We start from the raw sequence: 16,082 nt of genomic DNA on the forward strand, positions 1-16,082 counted from the left end.
AGAAAAGCATGAAGAGCCAGTAACAAGTTCTGATTCCTGCAAAAAGCTAGCATGGAAATTTCACCACTTGATGAGAAGAGGGATTGTTCAGTGCAAAATTGGCAATGACCTCTATGATGATTTCAAATGACTGGGCTCTGTAGATTCAGATAAAATGTCGACAAGATATCCTATTAGTTAAGCATTTCTTTTTTTTTTTCTCAAAGCAATGCTTACTGGCATTATGCTGATTTAAGAAACCCCATTCTGACTGTTAATGAAAACTTAATGGAGCTGACATAAGTAAGATGATCTTAAGCTCTCCTCACTCTCTAAATTGCCTTTTTTGTTGCCTTCTGGAAAATTGCTGGGTCATTGAACACTGATGTCATGCCACAGTATGAAAGGAAAACTGGTGAACAACACTGGGAAGGTGAATTATACTCAGAATACAGCCAGGCAGGTCCTAGGGTCATATAAAAAAATGAAGAAGTAGGAGCTAAGGTATCAGAGAGAGGGTCAAGAAATCAGTAATTTAGAAGTAATCCAGGCAGACCTGATTTTGCTTCCCAACTCTACCTGTTAATAGCTTTGTTAACTTGGGGGAGTTACTTAAGTTTTCTCAGCTTCAGTTTCTTTATCACTAAGACAGATTATATAAAAATAGTATCTACTGCAAATGCTTATGTGAAGACTAAAAGAGAAAAATCAGGCAAAATATTTAGCATTGTGCTTGACACAAAGCTTTCTACTATCATCATCATTTTCTTGACATTAACAGGAACAAGATAGAGGTACAGCAATTAAGATATTTGAAAGAAAAAAAGAAAAATAATAAAGTGTAGCAGCTCAAGACAGACAAGAGTCAGAAATCCAACACAGCAGCAGGTCCTACAGCCACAAGTCATTGAAAGAGAATTTAGGGATCATCTAGTCAAATATCTCTGTTTTACAGATGAGCAACTCCATGCTAAGAGATGTCTCAATGACAAAACTAGTTTTGAAAACATTTTGGCTTTTTTTTTTTATAAAGTTAAACATGGACTTAGCATGTTTACATGGGCAACCTAGTCATTCCCTTCTTAAGTATTCACCCAAGAGAAATAAAAACTTACATCCACACAAAGAATTGCATACAATGTTCACAGCTGCTTTGTTTGTAACAGCCTAAACTGAAAATAATCGAATGTCCATCAACAGGAGAATGGATAACTAAATTTCATATAATTGAATATATTCAGCAATAAAAAAGAATGAAGAGTGGTGCACACAACATGGATGTATCTTAAAAGCATTATGCTCAGCAGAAGAAACAGTATAAAGAGTACATACTGTCTGATTCTGCTTAAATGAAGTTCTAAAGAATGCAAGCTATAGAGATTCAAAGCATAACAGTAGTTGCCTGGGTCCCGAGGGGATGAGGTGGCAAGAGTTTGTGAAGGGGCGCGAGAGAACTTTTGGGGATGATGGAAAGATTTTATATCTTTTATGAAATGTTTTACATCTTAGTTGTGCTGGTGGTTACACAGCATATAGATTTGTCAAAAGTCTTTAAAATTGTACAGTTCAGTTGGGTATATTTTATTGTATGTAAATTATACCACAATGAAGTCATTTTTTCTTGATCAGGTTGATCATATTCAAATAAGTTTATTTTAAAGACAGAACTACTTGATGCCTTATCCTTTCCTAGGGCAGAACTAGGATTCAAAGCCAGATCTTTGTTAACTAGTTAGTTAGTTAGCTAAATTCACAATTAGCTAGTGCTCACTAAGCTGAGCTTTGCTGAGTAATTAGTAAAACATTCTGGTCTTCTTGCTCTTATTCTGAGAGGTAGCCTGGTGAAGTGGAATAAATCTTGGCTTTGGAGTCACAAGGATGTGTCTTGGTGACATGGCTTCCCCTCTTACCAGCCGTGTGGCTTTGGCCACTTTGTTTAGACCTATCTGATCTACCTTTCGCTCATCTCTCAGTTTGGCATAAAACTCCTATTTATAAGGTTTCTATAAAGATAAAATGATACAATATAAAAAGTAACCAGAAAATGGTAGGCTAAGCACTTGATAAATTGTAGCTATAAATACTATTAATTTCTTTGGCCACAGACCCAGAGCTGTGTCATAGATAAACCTTGACTTGTGAGCTGGTGAAACAATCCCTCCAGGCTGCATTTAACCATTAGTGCAACAAATATTACTCAGTATCTATGATGGGCCAGGCAGTGTTTTAGACTCTTGGACTTTGGTAGAGAACAAAAGAGCTGCATTCTAGTAGGAGGAGACTGAAATGGATAAGCCAATACATGCATAATATGGCAGGTGACGAACTACACCAAGAAGAAACATTAACAGAGTAAGAGGAAAAGAGAATGATTAGGGATTATAGGAAGTTGCCGTTTGACAAAAGCTGCTTAGAAGCAGCTGATCTACTACCGTGATATTCGAACAGAAACCTAAAGAAAAGAGAGAACTGAAAAAAAACAGAGAAGGGGCTAAGCAGAGAAATAGTTGGTTGGAAAATATTCCAGGTAGGGGGAAGAGCAGTGAAAAGGCCCTGTTGCAGAAGTCTGCTTGTCACATTTTGGGATATGCAGGAAGCCTGGGGAGCTATGTGCATGGTTTTCAAGATTTAGAACAGTGCCAGTCATTTGCACAGGGTATGATGACATACATAATTTACCAACTGTTCACAGTGTTGAATTCCACCTCTCCTGTATTTGCAACTGAATTTTCCACTCAGAAGCAAATCTTCCTACAAAATTCCTATTGCTATTGTCTTGCATAGCTAATGGCTTTGGTACCAGGAGAAAGTAGTTACCTTTCTTTGTACACTTTGTAAATAGTAAGCATTTATTAAAATACAATTAAAATAAGTAGATAGTAGTCCAAATAAGCTTCCTCTTTGCTTTACAGAGATGTAAATCTGCACACTCAGTGTGATGGGAAGCAGCTGAACTCTAAGATGCCATTTGTCATTGACATGGGAAATAATGTTTTCCATTCTCATTATGGACCCAGGAGCAGGAAAGAAGCTGAATGTGGGGATGGAAAATGTAAGTGCTCAAACCCACCACTTCTCATTCTAATTTTCTCCTGTTCCTTCAGGATGAAAAGCACAAAATCAAAAAGCACTAAATCACAGAAATAGTCCATACATTATTTTAGCCACTATATGCTAATCTAGGTCCACAAAATAGGGTGCACTGAAACTAGGAAAGGAGAAGGCTAACCTGTCCAAGCGAAGGTCAGCCGTGAACACTTACTGCCTTTAACAAGTGACTGTGTGCTTTCAACACAGTCTAGATGGCAGCCAATGGCTTCTCTCACCACAGCTTGTCCTAGTCATCTGAGTTTTACTTCTGGGAGAAATCTACAGAGGAAGACAAAAAGTAGAGATACTTCCTTATCTCTGGTACCAGCACAATTCGCTTGAACTTTTCAATATTCTGGCCACATACTGAGGCACAGTAGAGTTCAACCCTAAGAAGCCCCAGGGGTCATTCCTGGGGAGCACTAGTCTAAAGCCAGTCATATAATGGCTCAATGTGGTTAAGAAGTGCAAGCAGGGTGTTAACTGGCACACCATAAAAATCATGAGAAACAAATGTGATGTCAGTGATAAATAAGGGTAGAACTAGGATCTATCTGCAAAATAATGAAGATGTGCTTGGCAAAGGAAGAAGGCAGTCTCCTTGGTTCTCAGGGAAAGGATATTTTGGTGAGTAAATTAGTTCATTCTTGCCCTGAAATAAAGAAATGCCTGAGACTGGGTAATTTATAAAGAAAATAAGTTTAGGCTGGGCGCGGTGGCTCATGCCTGTAATCCCAGCACTTTGGGAGGCCAAGGCGGGCAGATCACGAGGTCAGGAGATCGAGACCATCCTGGCTAACACGGTGAAACCCCGTCTCTACTAAAAATACAAAAAAATTAGCCAGGCGTGGTGGTGGGCGCATGTCGTCCCACCTATTTGGGAGACTGAGGCAGGAGAATGGTGTGAACCTGGGAGGCAGAGCTTGCAGTGAGCCGAGATCACATCAATGCACTCTAGCCTGGACGAGAGCGAGACTCTGTCTCAAAAAAAAAAAAGAAAGAAAGAAAGAAAATAAGTTTAATTGGCTAACAGTTCTTCAGGCTGTACAGGAAGCATAGTGGCATCAGTTTCTGAGGAGGCCTCAGGAAACTTACAATCATGGCGGAAGGTGAAGGGGAAGCAGGCACGTCTTACGAGGCCAGAGCAGGAGCAAGAGAAAGAGGGGACAGTTGCTACACACTTTTAAACAGCCAGATCTCCCGAGAATTCACTATTGCAATGACAGCACTAAGGGGAATGGTGTTAAGCCATGAGAAACCACCCCCATGATCCAATCACCTCCCACGAGGCCCCACCTCCAACAATGGTGATTACAATTAAACATGAGATATGGGCAGGAATACAGATCCAAATCATGTCATTCTGTCCCTGGCCCCTCCAAAATCTCATGTTCTTCTCACATTGCAAAATACAATCATGCCTTCCCAGTAATCCCCCAAAGTCTGAACTCATTTCAGCATTAACTCACAAGCCCAAAGTCCAAAATCCAAAGTCTCATCTGAAACAAGGCTAGTTCCTTCCACCTATGAGCCTGTAAATATAGAAAAACAAGTTAGTTACTTCCAAGATACAATGAGGGCACAGGCATTGGGTAAATATTCCCATTCCAAAAGAGACGAATCATCCAAAAGAAAGTAGCTACAGGCACCATGCAAGTCTGAAACCCAGTAGGGGAGTCATTAAATCTCAAAGCTCAAAAATAGTCTCCTTTGACTCCATGTCTCACGTCCACAGCACTCTGAGGCAAGGCCTTGGGCAGCTCCACCCTGGTGGCTTTGTAGGGGTCCCTTCCCATGGCTGCTCTCATAGGCTGGTGTTGAGTGTCTGCAGCTTTTCCAGGCACAGAGTGCAAGCTGCCACTGGATCTACCATTCTATGATCTGGAGGATGGTAGCCCTTTTCTCACAGCTCCACTAAGCAGTGCCCCAGTGGGAACTCTATGTGGCTCCAACCCCACATTTCCTCTTTACACTACCTTAGTAGAGGTCCTCCATGAGGGCTCTGCCCCTGCAGCAGGCTTCTGCCTGGACATCCATGCTCTTCCATACATCCTCCAAAATCTAGGCAGAGGTTCCCAAGCCTCAACTCTTGTACTGTGCACATCCACAGGCTTAACACCATGTAGAAGCTGCCTAGACTTAGGGCTTGCACCCTCTGAAGCAGTGGCCTGTGCTTTACCTGGGTTCCTTTTAGCCACAACTGGAGCTGGAGTGACTAGGATGCAGGGACCAGTGTTCAGGGCATCAGGACCCTGGGCCTAGCTCATGAAACCATTCTTCTCTCCTAGGCCTCTGGACCTGTGATGGGAGGGGTTGCCATGAAGTTCTCTGAAATGCCTCCAAAGATTTCTTCCCATTGTCTTGGCCATCAGCACTTGGCTCCTTTTTACTTATGCAAATTTTTGCCACCTGCTTTAATTTCACCCCTGAATGAGCTTTTCTTTACTACCACATGGCCAGGCTGCAAGTTTTTCAACCTTTTATGCTCTGCTTCCCTTTTAAACGTAACTTGCAGTTTTAGGTTATTTTTTTGCTCACGTATATGAGTGTAGGCAGTTAAAAACAGCCAGATCACATCTTGAATGGTTTTCTGTTTAGAATTTTCTTCCACTAGATACTCTAAATCATCATTCTCAAGTTCAAACTTCCACAAATCTGTAGGGCATGGGCATAATGCCACCAAGTTCTTCACTAAAGCATAATAAAAGAGCCCTTTTCTCCAGTACCGAATGTTCCTCATTTCCATCTGAGACTTCCTCAGCCTGGACTTCATTGTCCATATTACTATAATTTTGGTCACAACCATTCAACAAGTCTCTAAGAAGTTCCAAATTTTCTCGCATCTTTCTGTCTTCTTCTGAGACCTCCGAACTCTTCCAACCTCTGCCCATTACCCAGTTCCAAAGTCACTTCCACATTTTCAGTGCCCCACCACTTGGTACCAATCTTCTGTATTAGTCCATTCTCACACTGCTATGAAGAACTATCTGAGACTGAGTAATTTAAAAAGAAAAGGGATTTAATTGGCTCACAGTTCTGCAGGCTATATAGAAAGCATAGTGGCATCAGCTTCCGGGGATGCCGCAGGGAACTTACAATCATGCCAAAAGGTAAAGGGGGCGTGAGGCATGTCTTACATGGCCGGAGCAGGAGCAAGAGAGCAGGGGAGGAGGTGCTACATACTCTTAAACAACCAGATCTCACGAGAGCTCACTATTGTGACAACATAATCAAGAGGAATGGTGTTAAACCATGAGAAACCACCCCCATGATCCAATCATCTCCTACCAGGCTCCACCTCCAACATTGAAGATTACTAATTGAACATGAGATTTGGACAGGGACACAGATCCTAACCATATTAGTGAGGACTCTTCTAAAAGGCTGAAAAAGCTCTTTCTCAATTCTGTCTCTATATACCTCCAAGTAGCTTCTTGCGACTGATCGCATTCACTTTGGATAATCTGCACCTGAGCTCTGCTTTTATTAGTACAGGCGGTGAAAGTCAATTGTATTAACAAATATTCCAAGGAAAAAATAACTGAGAGAGAATTCAGTGAGGAACCTGGTTTTTCTGTGAGAGAATTTTGAGTGTTTAGTCAATTCAGCCCATTAGCCTGAACTAAATATTAAATAAAGAGATTGCAGTTTATCTGATGACTGCTGGACCACAAAAGCACTGAGTGGAAATCCAAATTCAATTTTAGACAAACCTGGAGATAAGGTATTGCACAGTTTCCTGAAGTTAATAGAATGTCACGTATAACTGCCCCACACGTGGGCCAACCAGTAGTGACCACTGTGCTTCTCATACCTGTGGATAAAGGTCTAATAGAAGTTGCTGCTGAATCTACATTAATCAATATATAAAGTTATTAATACCCAGAAAAATTAGAGGAAATAGAAATATTATAAAGAGTTATCTAAGTTCAACAATATTGCCTCTATTTTAAAACAGAAAATATAGAAAGTTTAGTATTTTAAAACTTTAACTGAAGATTAAAAACATATGTTCATAATAACATTGATGAATAGCAATAGCTACTGTGTGTTTTATATTTTTTATAAGTTCTCCACATATCATTTATCAAAAATAGCCCATATTTGTTAGCACTTTACTGATTTAAAGTGTTGTCAGAAAAGTTCAGTCATTTAGTGCTCATGAAATCTTGAAAGATAGGTATTATTACCATCTCAGCCATTTTCCTGAGGAAACCAAGACTCCATGATGGTTCATTATTTTCCCTTATTCCTACAGGCAAGTATCAATGGCAGCACCAAGATTCACACAAAAGGTCTTTGATTCCCAAATCCTTTGAAACTTTCCAATTCTGCCTTTTTCTGTAAAACCTCAAAACATAATTTTACACAAATGAAACTGATGATTGAAGAGTCTCCCCATATGCAAGGCATATTTCATTCATTCATATTTCATTTCATTCATTATCATAGATAATGAATGCAATTGTCTTATTTTGTATGTATGAGCGAGTGAGAAAGAGACAGGCAGATAGAGAGAGAGAAACACATAGAGAAGCCATTTAAAGGAGAAGGAAGAATGACCTTATTTCATCCTTCATGCCTTTCTCTGCAATGCCTCCTGCCCTGTCCACTTTTTTAAAACCATTTTTCTGTCTTAAAACTACCCATTGCCCTTGCCAAACACCAAAGCTAATTAGTTAGCACTTTCTGAAATCCATAAAATGGTGGTCCTTGACATTAAATAGTTTTTGCTGAAAACTACTTTGATAAAGAGGTTTCTGATGTTAAAATACTGCTTTTTCTTGGGTTACCCAAGCACAATGCAGACTTAATGTTTTTTATAATTTAAAATATTTTAAGGTATATCATATGCATAGGACAAAGTGTCAGAGTATCTTGCTGTTACTTACATATGTAGTAAGTTAAAACATGTAGTGCAAAGATGGCAAGGAGTTTAAATTTCAAGCCTACTCCAACTAAGTGGTAGTTGCTACCTGTAACACCATGTTGTAAACTACTCTGAGGCCAGACCAGGACCAATGACAGGGAGTCCAGAGATGGATTAACAATGCCTGTCATGGCTTCAGGAATGGGGAGTGGCACTTACTTCCCATCCTAAAGTTATTATATCTTGCCAGGCTTAGAAATAAAATATTAAAATGTCTTTCATTAAAAGGCAAGTTCATAATTTACATGCCAGTCTATAAAGAGAATCACATACTTATTTCTAACTCCCTGAGTTGGACTTCTTGGATGGGAAGTGAGGGTTTTAATCAATGGCATGTTGGGTAATTTTAGAGCCTGAGACAGCCTAGTCTGACATCTGACTGGGTGTGTTTCAGTGTTTCAGTACGTGGGCAGTAAAGCAGAGATGTTGGGAACAGAAAAAGGAAAGGGAAGAAGTGTACTTCAAGACTGACCAGGATATTCAGAAGTTTGCTAAACGCTGAGAATATCTGACCTGGGTTTGTCACATCAAAGTTCAATACATCTGGCCAGACCAAGTGTATAGTGTCACTCCTCCACTCCCACCTCCATTCCTGCCATCTGTCCCTGGGTTCTCTCTCAAATTCACCTGTGGCCCTGTTTGAAGACAGGAGACATTCAGCCTAAAGTTCTTACATTAATATTGAAATGCAAAACAGCTTACTTAATTAAACAAAAACTGCAAATAACTTTTATTATTTTCCTACTGTCATTTCATTAGGTCCATTCAATTTTGGTATACTTTTCTGAAACTGCCTGCATTTGTGGAGTTAATCTTTAGCATTCTTATTGGTTTGGACAGAGTTGGTTATTTGTTTGTAGTATCTTAACACCTAGAAGACAAACAACATAAATGAAAAGCTGAATGAATATCAACCCCTGCCGCCCACACACCTCCACTGTGTAGATAAAGAAGCTGTGGCACATCAGGTTAAAGCAACTTGTCCCAGGTCACACTGTTAGCAAAAGGTAAGCTGAGATGTAAGCCCAGACAATCTAATGTCAGAGCCTGAGCTCTGAACACTCTGCTTACTATGCTGCCTCTCTAAATAGGGGATAGAGTATTGCCCTTAGAAAGTTAAGCTATGAAATCAGCACAGAAATATGCAAAATCTCCCCAAGCAGGCAACATGACCATCTGGCCAGAGTAGACCTTCCCTGTAAACTCATTAGAGTTATTAATGTGATAATCTTAAAAGGGTAGTTGGTCAACCATGGAACACAGAAAAATGAGAGTCCCAGAGACAAAGACTAACAGTGCATGTGCAGTGCTAATCAGGGGAGAGAAGCATTTGGTTACCAGGCAAAAACATTAGGGCGGCTTCGCTGGTACCCCTGTAGTGGAGAAAAGAGCCTCTAGTTATTTTAGTTGAGGTGTATTTCTTTAGATCAATCAACTCTCTTTAATCTAATTTATGCTTACCAGGTAAATGCCTGATTAGTTTGCCTATAGGGAGGCTCTAGGCATTCAAGTATTTTGGTAACATACTAAAGTAGCATTCTCTGAATAAAGTATGGACTTTAATTAATGTTAATGTATCAGTATTGGTTCATTGATTGTAACAAATGTGCCACCCTAAAGTAAGATGTTAATAATAGGGGAAGCTGGGTGTGGAGTATGTGGGAATTCTCTGTACCATCTTTAATTTTTCTGTAAATCAGACTGTTGTAAAAAATAAAGGCCATTACATAATAATAATAAAGTAGGATTCTGCTTAAACACCAGTCTGTTTGTTTGTTTAGTGTGCTATTTCCCTGAACATTTACTCTACTTTCAGAAAACACAGCATCAGAAGTGGAGGGCCAACATATAACAGAACCCGCTAAAGTAAAGGCTATGTCATAAGGGCTATAACATTGTCAGCTGGTCAACCTTCCCTGGTGAAATGCCTTCACTTTCATAAGCTACCTTTGTAACTTTAATATGGCTCAAGATAGGGCCAAGGCAGGCAGGTGCAAGATCCTTGATGCTTCATCTTGCTGTTAAACTACAGCATTGTAAATTCTTAAGCAATTCATCCTAAAATTAGGAGTGATGAGGCTGAGCTTACATATGGGTACTTGTGACTTGAAAAGTTAGTTGTAGAACAAGATGAAAAATTGAAAACAGGGGAAACCTAGTCCCTACTAACTGGGTGGTATTGGACAAGTCATTTACTGCTCTGAGCCTAAATTTTTCATATAAAGAATTGTAGATTACTTACGCCACTCATCTATAGAGCCTTTATAAGGATCAAAATCCATACGAAATTCTTTTCTAAAGTGTATGTAACTACACAAACCTTAGTGTTGCTACCATAGATCTTGAGTATAGTGACAGCTCTCTTGTACGCAGTACTTACCACAAGCCGTGTGCTGTTCCAAGCATATTTTGTATATTAACTCATTTCATGCTCACAATAATCCTGTAGCAAATTCTGTGACGTGTCACTCCAAAACTGACCACAGGATCAAGACCCTTATTTCCCCAGCTATTTAATACAGTGTTGGCGAATGACCACTCAGAGCTGAGTTGCTCTCCAGAAGTTGCTTTCAGCCAAAGGAACTGCCTCATTCAAGGTTATGAGCCCTCACTGTGGGTAGTCCACTTCCAATGCCTAGTTGTTGCGGGTGAGAGAGGGCAAAGCCTCAGCTTCCTTGCCTTATTATGAGACCGCTCTCTAAAGGGCCATCCAGCTCCCCAGCTTCCATGGTGGGCTGAGGCCTCTGTTGCACCTGCATCTCTTCCCCATCCTGCTCCTCTCCCCCTGTTACAGCGCTATTCCTCAGAAGCTTCCCCAGTGAGCCATCTACACACAATGGTCTGTCCTCAGAGCCTGCTTTTGGGAGCATTGAACATAAGACGGGTGCTATGGAGTACTGTCATTTCCTTTTTAAAAAACGTTTATTTTAAGGCCAGGGGCGGTGGCTCATGCTTGTAATTGCAGCACTTTGGGAAGCCAAGGTGGGTGGATCACCTGAGGTCAGGAGTTCGAGACTAGCCTGGCCAACATGGTGAAACCCCATCTCTACTAAAAATATAAAAATTAGCCAGTTGTGGTGGCAGGCACCTGTAATCCCAGATACTTAGGAGGCTGAGGCAGGGAAATCACTTGAACCTGGGAGGCAGAGGTTGCAGTGAGCCGAGATTACACCACTGCACTCCAGCCTGGGCCACAGAATGAGACTCTGTCTCAAAACAACAACAAAAACAACAACAACAACAACTTTTCTTTTAGAATCAGGGGTACATGTGTCAGTTGTTAGAAAGGTATATTGCATGATGCTGAGGTTTGGAGTACAAATGAATCTCCATCACCCAGGTAGGGAGCATAGTGCCCAAAGAGTAGTTTTTCAACCCTTGGACCCCTCCTCTACTTCCCTTCTAGTAATCTCCATTGTCTATTGTTATTATCTTTATGTTCATGCGTATTCAGTTTTTAACTCTCACTTGTAAGTGAGAACATGTGATATTTGATTTTCTGTTTCTGTATTAGTTTTCTCATGATAATGGCCTCCAGCTGTATCCATGTTGCTGCAAAGGACATGATTTTGTTCTTTTTTATGGCTGCATAGTATTCCGTGGTGAATATGTAGCACATTTTCTTTATTCAATCCAGAGTTGATGGACTACTGGGTTGATTCCATGTCTTTGATATTGTGAATAGTGCTGCAATGAACATACAAGTGCATCTGTCTTTTTGGTAGAACAATTTATTTTCCTTTGTATTATCCTGATTGTCAAGAGGTATAGTAACTTACCTGAGTTCATGTGGCTAGTAAATAGCAGAGCCAAGATCTGAGAGCAGGCCATCTAGAAAATGTTTTTACTGTGACATTTGGCACAGGCATCTCTCTCAGTGAATAGACTGTGTCGGATGTGTTGTTTGATTAATGTCTGTGCTAGAAGCAGAACCCAAGGACATGGGTATTGGTTGCAGTCACAACTTCAATGGAAGAGAAAAGCTACTCTGGAAAAACAGTGAGATAAATTTAAATATGAATATTTGGGGGTTAATCCAGGATGGAGGAGATGAGAAGAGAGAGTGAAGGGAGATGTGGGGCAATTTAACTGAGGGAGTGCTGTGGGCTGTGTGATGTGTTTCTCCCTGTGACATGCCTTCCCGCAAATGTCTTCAGTAAAATCTGGCCGGGCGCGGTGGCTCACGCCTGTAATCCCAGCACTTTGGGAGGCCGAGGCGGGTGGATCATGAGGTCAGGAGATCGAGACCATCCTGGCTAACAAGGTGAAACCCCGTCTCTACTAAAAATACAAAAAATTAGCCGGGCGCGGTGGCAGGCGCCTGTAGTCCCAGCTACTCGGGAGGCTGAGGCAGGAGAATGGCGTGAACCCGGGAAGCGGAGCTTGCAGTGAGCCGAGATTGCGCCACTGCAGTCCGCAGTCCGGCCTGGGCGACAGAGCGAGACTCCGTCTCAAAAAAAAAAAAAAAAAAAATCTACCCAACGTGGGAAAAGTTAGACATTGTATTTATTTGTTAGGGCTGCCATAGCAAAGTACCACAAACTGAATGGCTTCAACAACAAAAATGTATTGCCACAGTTCTGGAGGTTAAAAGTTCAAGATCAAAGTGTTGGCAGGGTGGGGTCTTTCTGAGGGTGGTGAAGGAAGGATGTGTTTCATGCCTGTCTTTTAGCATCTGATGGCTTCCCTGCAATCTTTGATATTCCTTGCTGTATAAACACATCACTGATCTCTGCTTCATCTTCCCGTGGCGTTCTCCCTGTGTCTGTGTTCATATTTCCTCTTTGTATAAAGGCAACAGTCATACTGGTTTAGAGGCCCACATTAACCCAGTATGACCTCATCTTAACTATTTATATCTGCAACAACTCTATTTCCAAATAGGGTCACATTCTGAGATACTAGGGGTTAGGACCTCACCATATAAATTTTTGTGGCACATAATCTAATTCATAATCAATGTAGATTAGATTTCTTGTGCAAATGTGTGAAAGGATTGGGTTCTACATCTGAGTGAATGTGGTGACAAACAGAGACAACTTATCTACCATGAGATGAGGACAGTAAGATTATGAGTCCTGGGAGATAGGTAGAGGGGTCTACAGCTCTCTCAAGTTGAAAAATTGGAATTAGAGGCAAGCCTACATGTGTCTCAAGCAGTGACAGACTGCTATGATTTGAATGTTTGTCCCCTCCAAAACTCGTGTTGGAAACTTAATCCCCAATGCAACAGTGTTGGGAGGTAGGGCATAATGGAAGTTGTTTATGTCATGAGGGCTCTGCCCTAGTGAATAAATTCATTCTGCAATAAAAATGGCTTTCAGGAGTGGGTTCATCCGCTTCTGCTCTTCTGCCGTGCAAAGAACAGCATTCCTCCCCCATCCACACACACATACACACACGCACACACAGGCAGACGCACACACATATGTGCACACACACACGCACGCGCACACGCACACACACAGGATGCAGCATTCAAAGCGTCATCATGGTGGCTGGGTGTAGTGGCTCACGCCTGTAATCCCAGCACTTTGGGAGGCTGAGGCATGTGGATCACTTGAGCTCAGGAGTTCGAGACCAGCCTGGCCAACATGGTGAAACCCCGTCTCTACAAAAAAATAACAAATAGTAGCCAGACATGGTGGCATCTGTGTGTTGTCCCAGTTACTCAGGAGGCTGAGGCAGGAGAGTCACTTGAGCCTGGGAGGTGAAGACTGCAGTAAGCCCAGATCACACCACTGCACTCCAGCCTGGGTGACAGAGTGAGACCCTGTCTCAAAAAAAAAAAAAAAAAAAAAAAAAAAAAAAAATTACTATCATGGAAATGAAGACTGAACCCTTATCAGACATCCAACCTGCTGGCACCCTAATCATTTTAGACTTGCCAGCCTCCAGAAGTATGAGAAATAAATGTCTGTTCTTTATAAATTACCCAACCTCCAATATTCTTTTAAAATAGCACAAAACAAACTGAGATAAAGACCTAGCTAAAATCTGGATGATAATGGCTTAAAATGAAGTAAATTCAAGGGTCACTATCAATTGCCTCTCCAATATGAACTTAAGACCTTATAGAACCAACTCTATCCTTTTAACCTCCCCAAAAGATCATCTACTCTTGTAAATCTTCAGGTCCATTAAAAGGAATTACTTCTCCTATTTCTTTTACATGCTTTGATATGTCTAATACACAAGGAAATAGCTTACTGGAGATTGATTATTAGATTACTAGATTTCTGTAAGGGAGGTCATAGTACCTAGACCACTTGTGAAAATATACAATTTTTTATGATGCAGCACTGCTATGGCAAGACAAATACAGATAATTTTTCTTGATATCTGACTTAAAGAAAGGCTGAGAGTACAAGTAAAATAGTGCTATATAGTATAAAATTTTCTACTCAAATTACCTGAGCTAAATCCACCTCTGGCATTTACTAGCTGTGTGACTTTGAGCAATTTATTTGATGTTTCTGTGACTCGGTTCCCTTGTCTGTTAAATGGGGATAATAATAATAATAGACCCCATCTCAATGGGCTCTTATGAGAATTAAAGGACTTAAGGGAGTAAGACACTTAGAATGCTGGCTCTCATGTAGTAAGCTCTTGATCAATGGCAGCTATTATAGTATTGTCAAAATAGCAACTGTCTTTCACACGACCAAAATGTTTTGCCACTGGCGCAGTTATAAGATAGGCTCAAAATAAGCACAACTCTTAAAATTAAGTAGAACAGAGGAAATGTTCTGCTTGCAGACTTATTTTGACTGTTGGATGAAATTTAAATCACTGGTCAGGGGCCAGACAATATTCACCAAATACTTAGGCCATTTTACATATTTCAGATAAAAATTGCCCAAGCCCAGTCTCTATATCATCAGCCAAGGCAACTGCATACTTATAAATAAAACTTCTTGGCTCAAGCCTCTGATGATAATAATTTAATTATATGTTTAGTCCATTAACATCATCAAATAAAAATTCTGATTGCTTAAGAATATAAATTATATGAAAATCTGGCTCTCTGGAAACAAAACAAAACAAACAAACAAAAAAGAATATAAATACCAAGCCAACATGCAATTTCAGAGTAACCATTATCTTTTTCTCATTTTAAAAATGTTTTGATAGAATGATTTATTTTCTTTGGCTATAAACCAGTAATGGGATTGCTGGGTCAAATGGTAGCTCTGCTTTAAGCACTTTGAGAAGACTCCAAACTGATTTCCATAATGGCTGAACTAACTTACATTCCCACCAACAGTGTATGAGCATCCCTTTTCTCTGCAGCCTCGCCAGCATCTGTTGTTTTTTGACTTTTTAATAATAGCATTCTGACTGGTGTGAGATGGTACCTCATTGTGGTTTGATTTGCATTTCTCTGATGATGAGTAATGATTAGCTTTTTTCATATATTCATGGGTTCTTGTATGTCTTCTTTTGATAAATGTCTGTTCATATCATTTGCCCATTGTTTAATGGGGTTAATTTGTTTTTTGCTTGTTGATTTAAGTTCCCTATAGATTCTACGTATTAGGCCTTTTTCAGATGCATAGTTTGTGAATATCTTCTCCCACTCTATAGGTTGTCTGTTTACTCTGCCGATAGTTTCTTTTGCTGTGCAGAAGCTCTTTAGTTTAACTAAGTCCCACTTGTCAATTTTTGTTTTTGTTGCAATTGCTTCTGAAAACTTAGCCAAAAATTATTTGCCAAGGCCAATATCAAGAAGAGTATTTCCTAAGTTGTCTTCTAGGATTTTTATATTTTGAGATCTTATGTATAAATCTTTGATCCATTTTGAGTTGATTTTTTTACATGATAAAAGGTAGGGGTCCAGCTTCAATCTTCTGCATAGGGCTAGCCAATACCCCAGAACCATTTATTGATTAATGAGTCCTTTCCCCATTGTTTTTGTTGGTCTCGTCGAAGACAAATCGTTATAGGTGTGTGGCTTTATTTCTGAGTTTTCTATTCTGTTCTATTGGTCCGTACGTCTGTTTTTGTACCAGTACCATGCTGTTTTGATTACTGTATGTTCACTGCTGTGCTATTCACAATAGCAAAAACTTGGAATCAACCC

The 16,082-nt window shown here is 40.3% G+C and overlaps 1 long non-coding RNA gene across 1 annotated transcript in view; it reads right to left on the reverse strand.

Moving 5' to 3' along the window:
• The window catches only part of LOC105369901 (uncharacterized), a 53,084-nt gene extending 49,343 nt beyond the window's left edge, over nucleotides 1-3,741 (reverse strand). Inside the window, exon 1 of the long non-coding RNA XR_007063580.1 lies at nucleotides 3,209-3,741. This is a non-coding gene — a long non-coding RNA (uncharacterized LOC105369901). The remainder of the gene's footprint in view (nucleotides 1-3,208) is intronic.
• Nucleotides 3,742-16,082: the final 12,341 nt, after the last annotated feature.

This window comes from Homo sapiens, chromosome 12, assembly GCF_000001405.40.
Source record: "Homo sapiens chromosome 12, GRCh38.p14 Primary Assembly".
Taxonomy (NCBI): domain Eukaryota; kingdom Metazoa; phylum Chordata; class Mammalia; order Primates; family Hominidae; genus Homo; species Homo sapiens.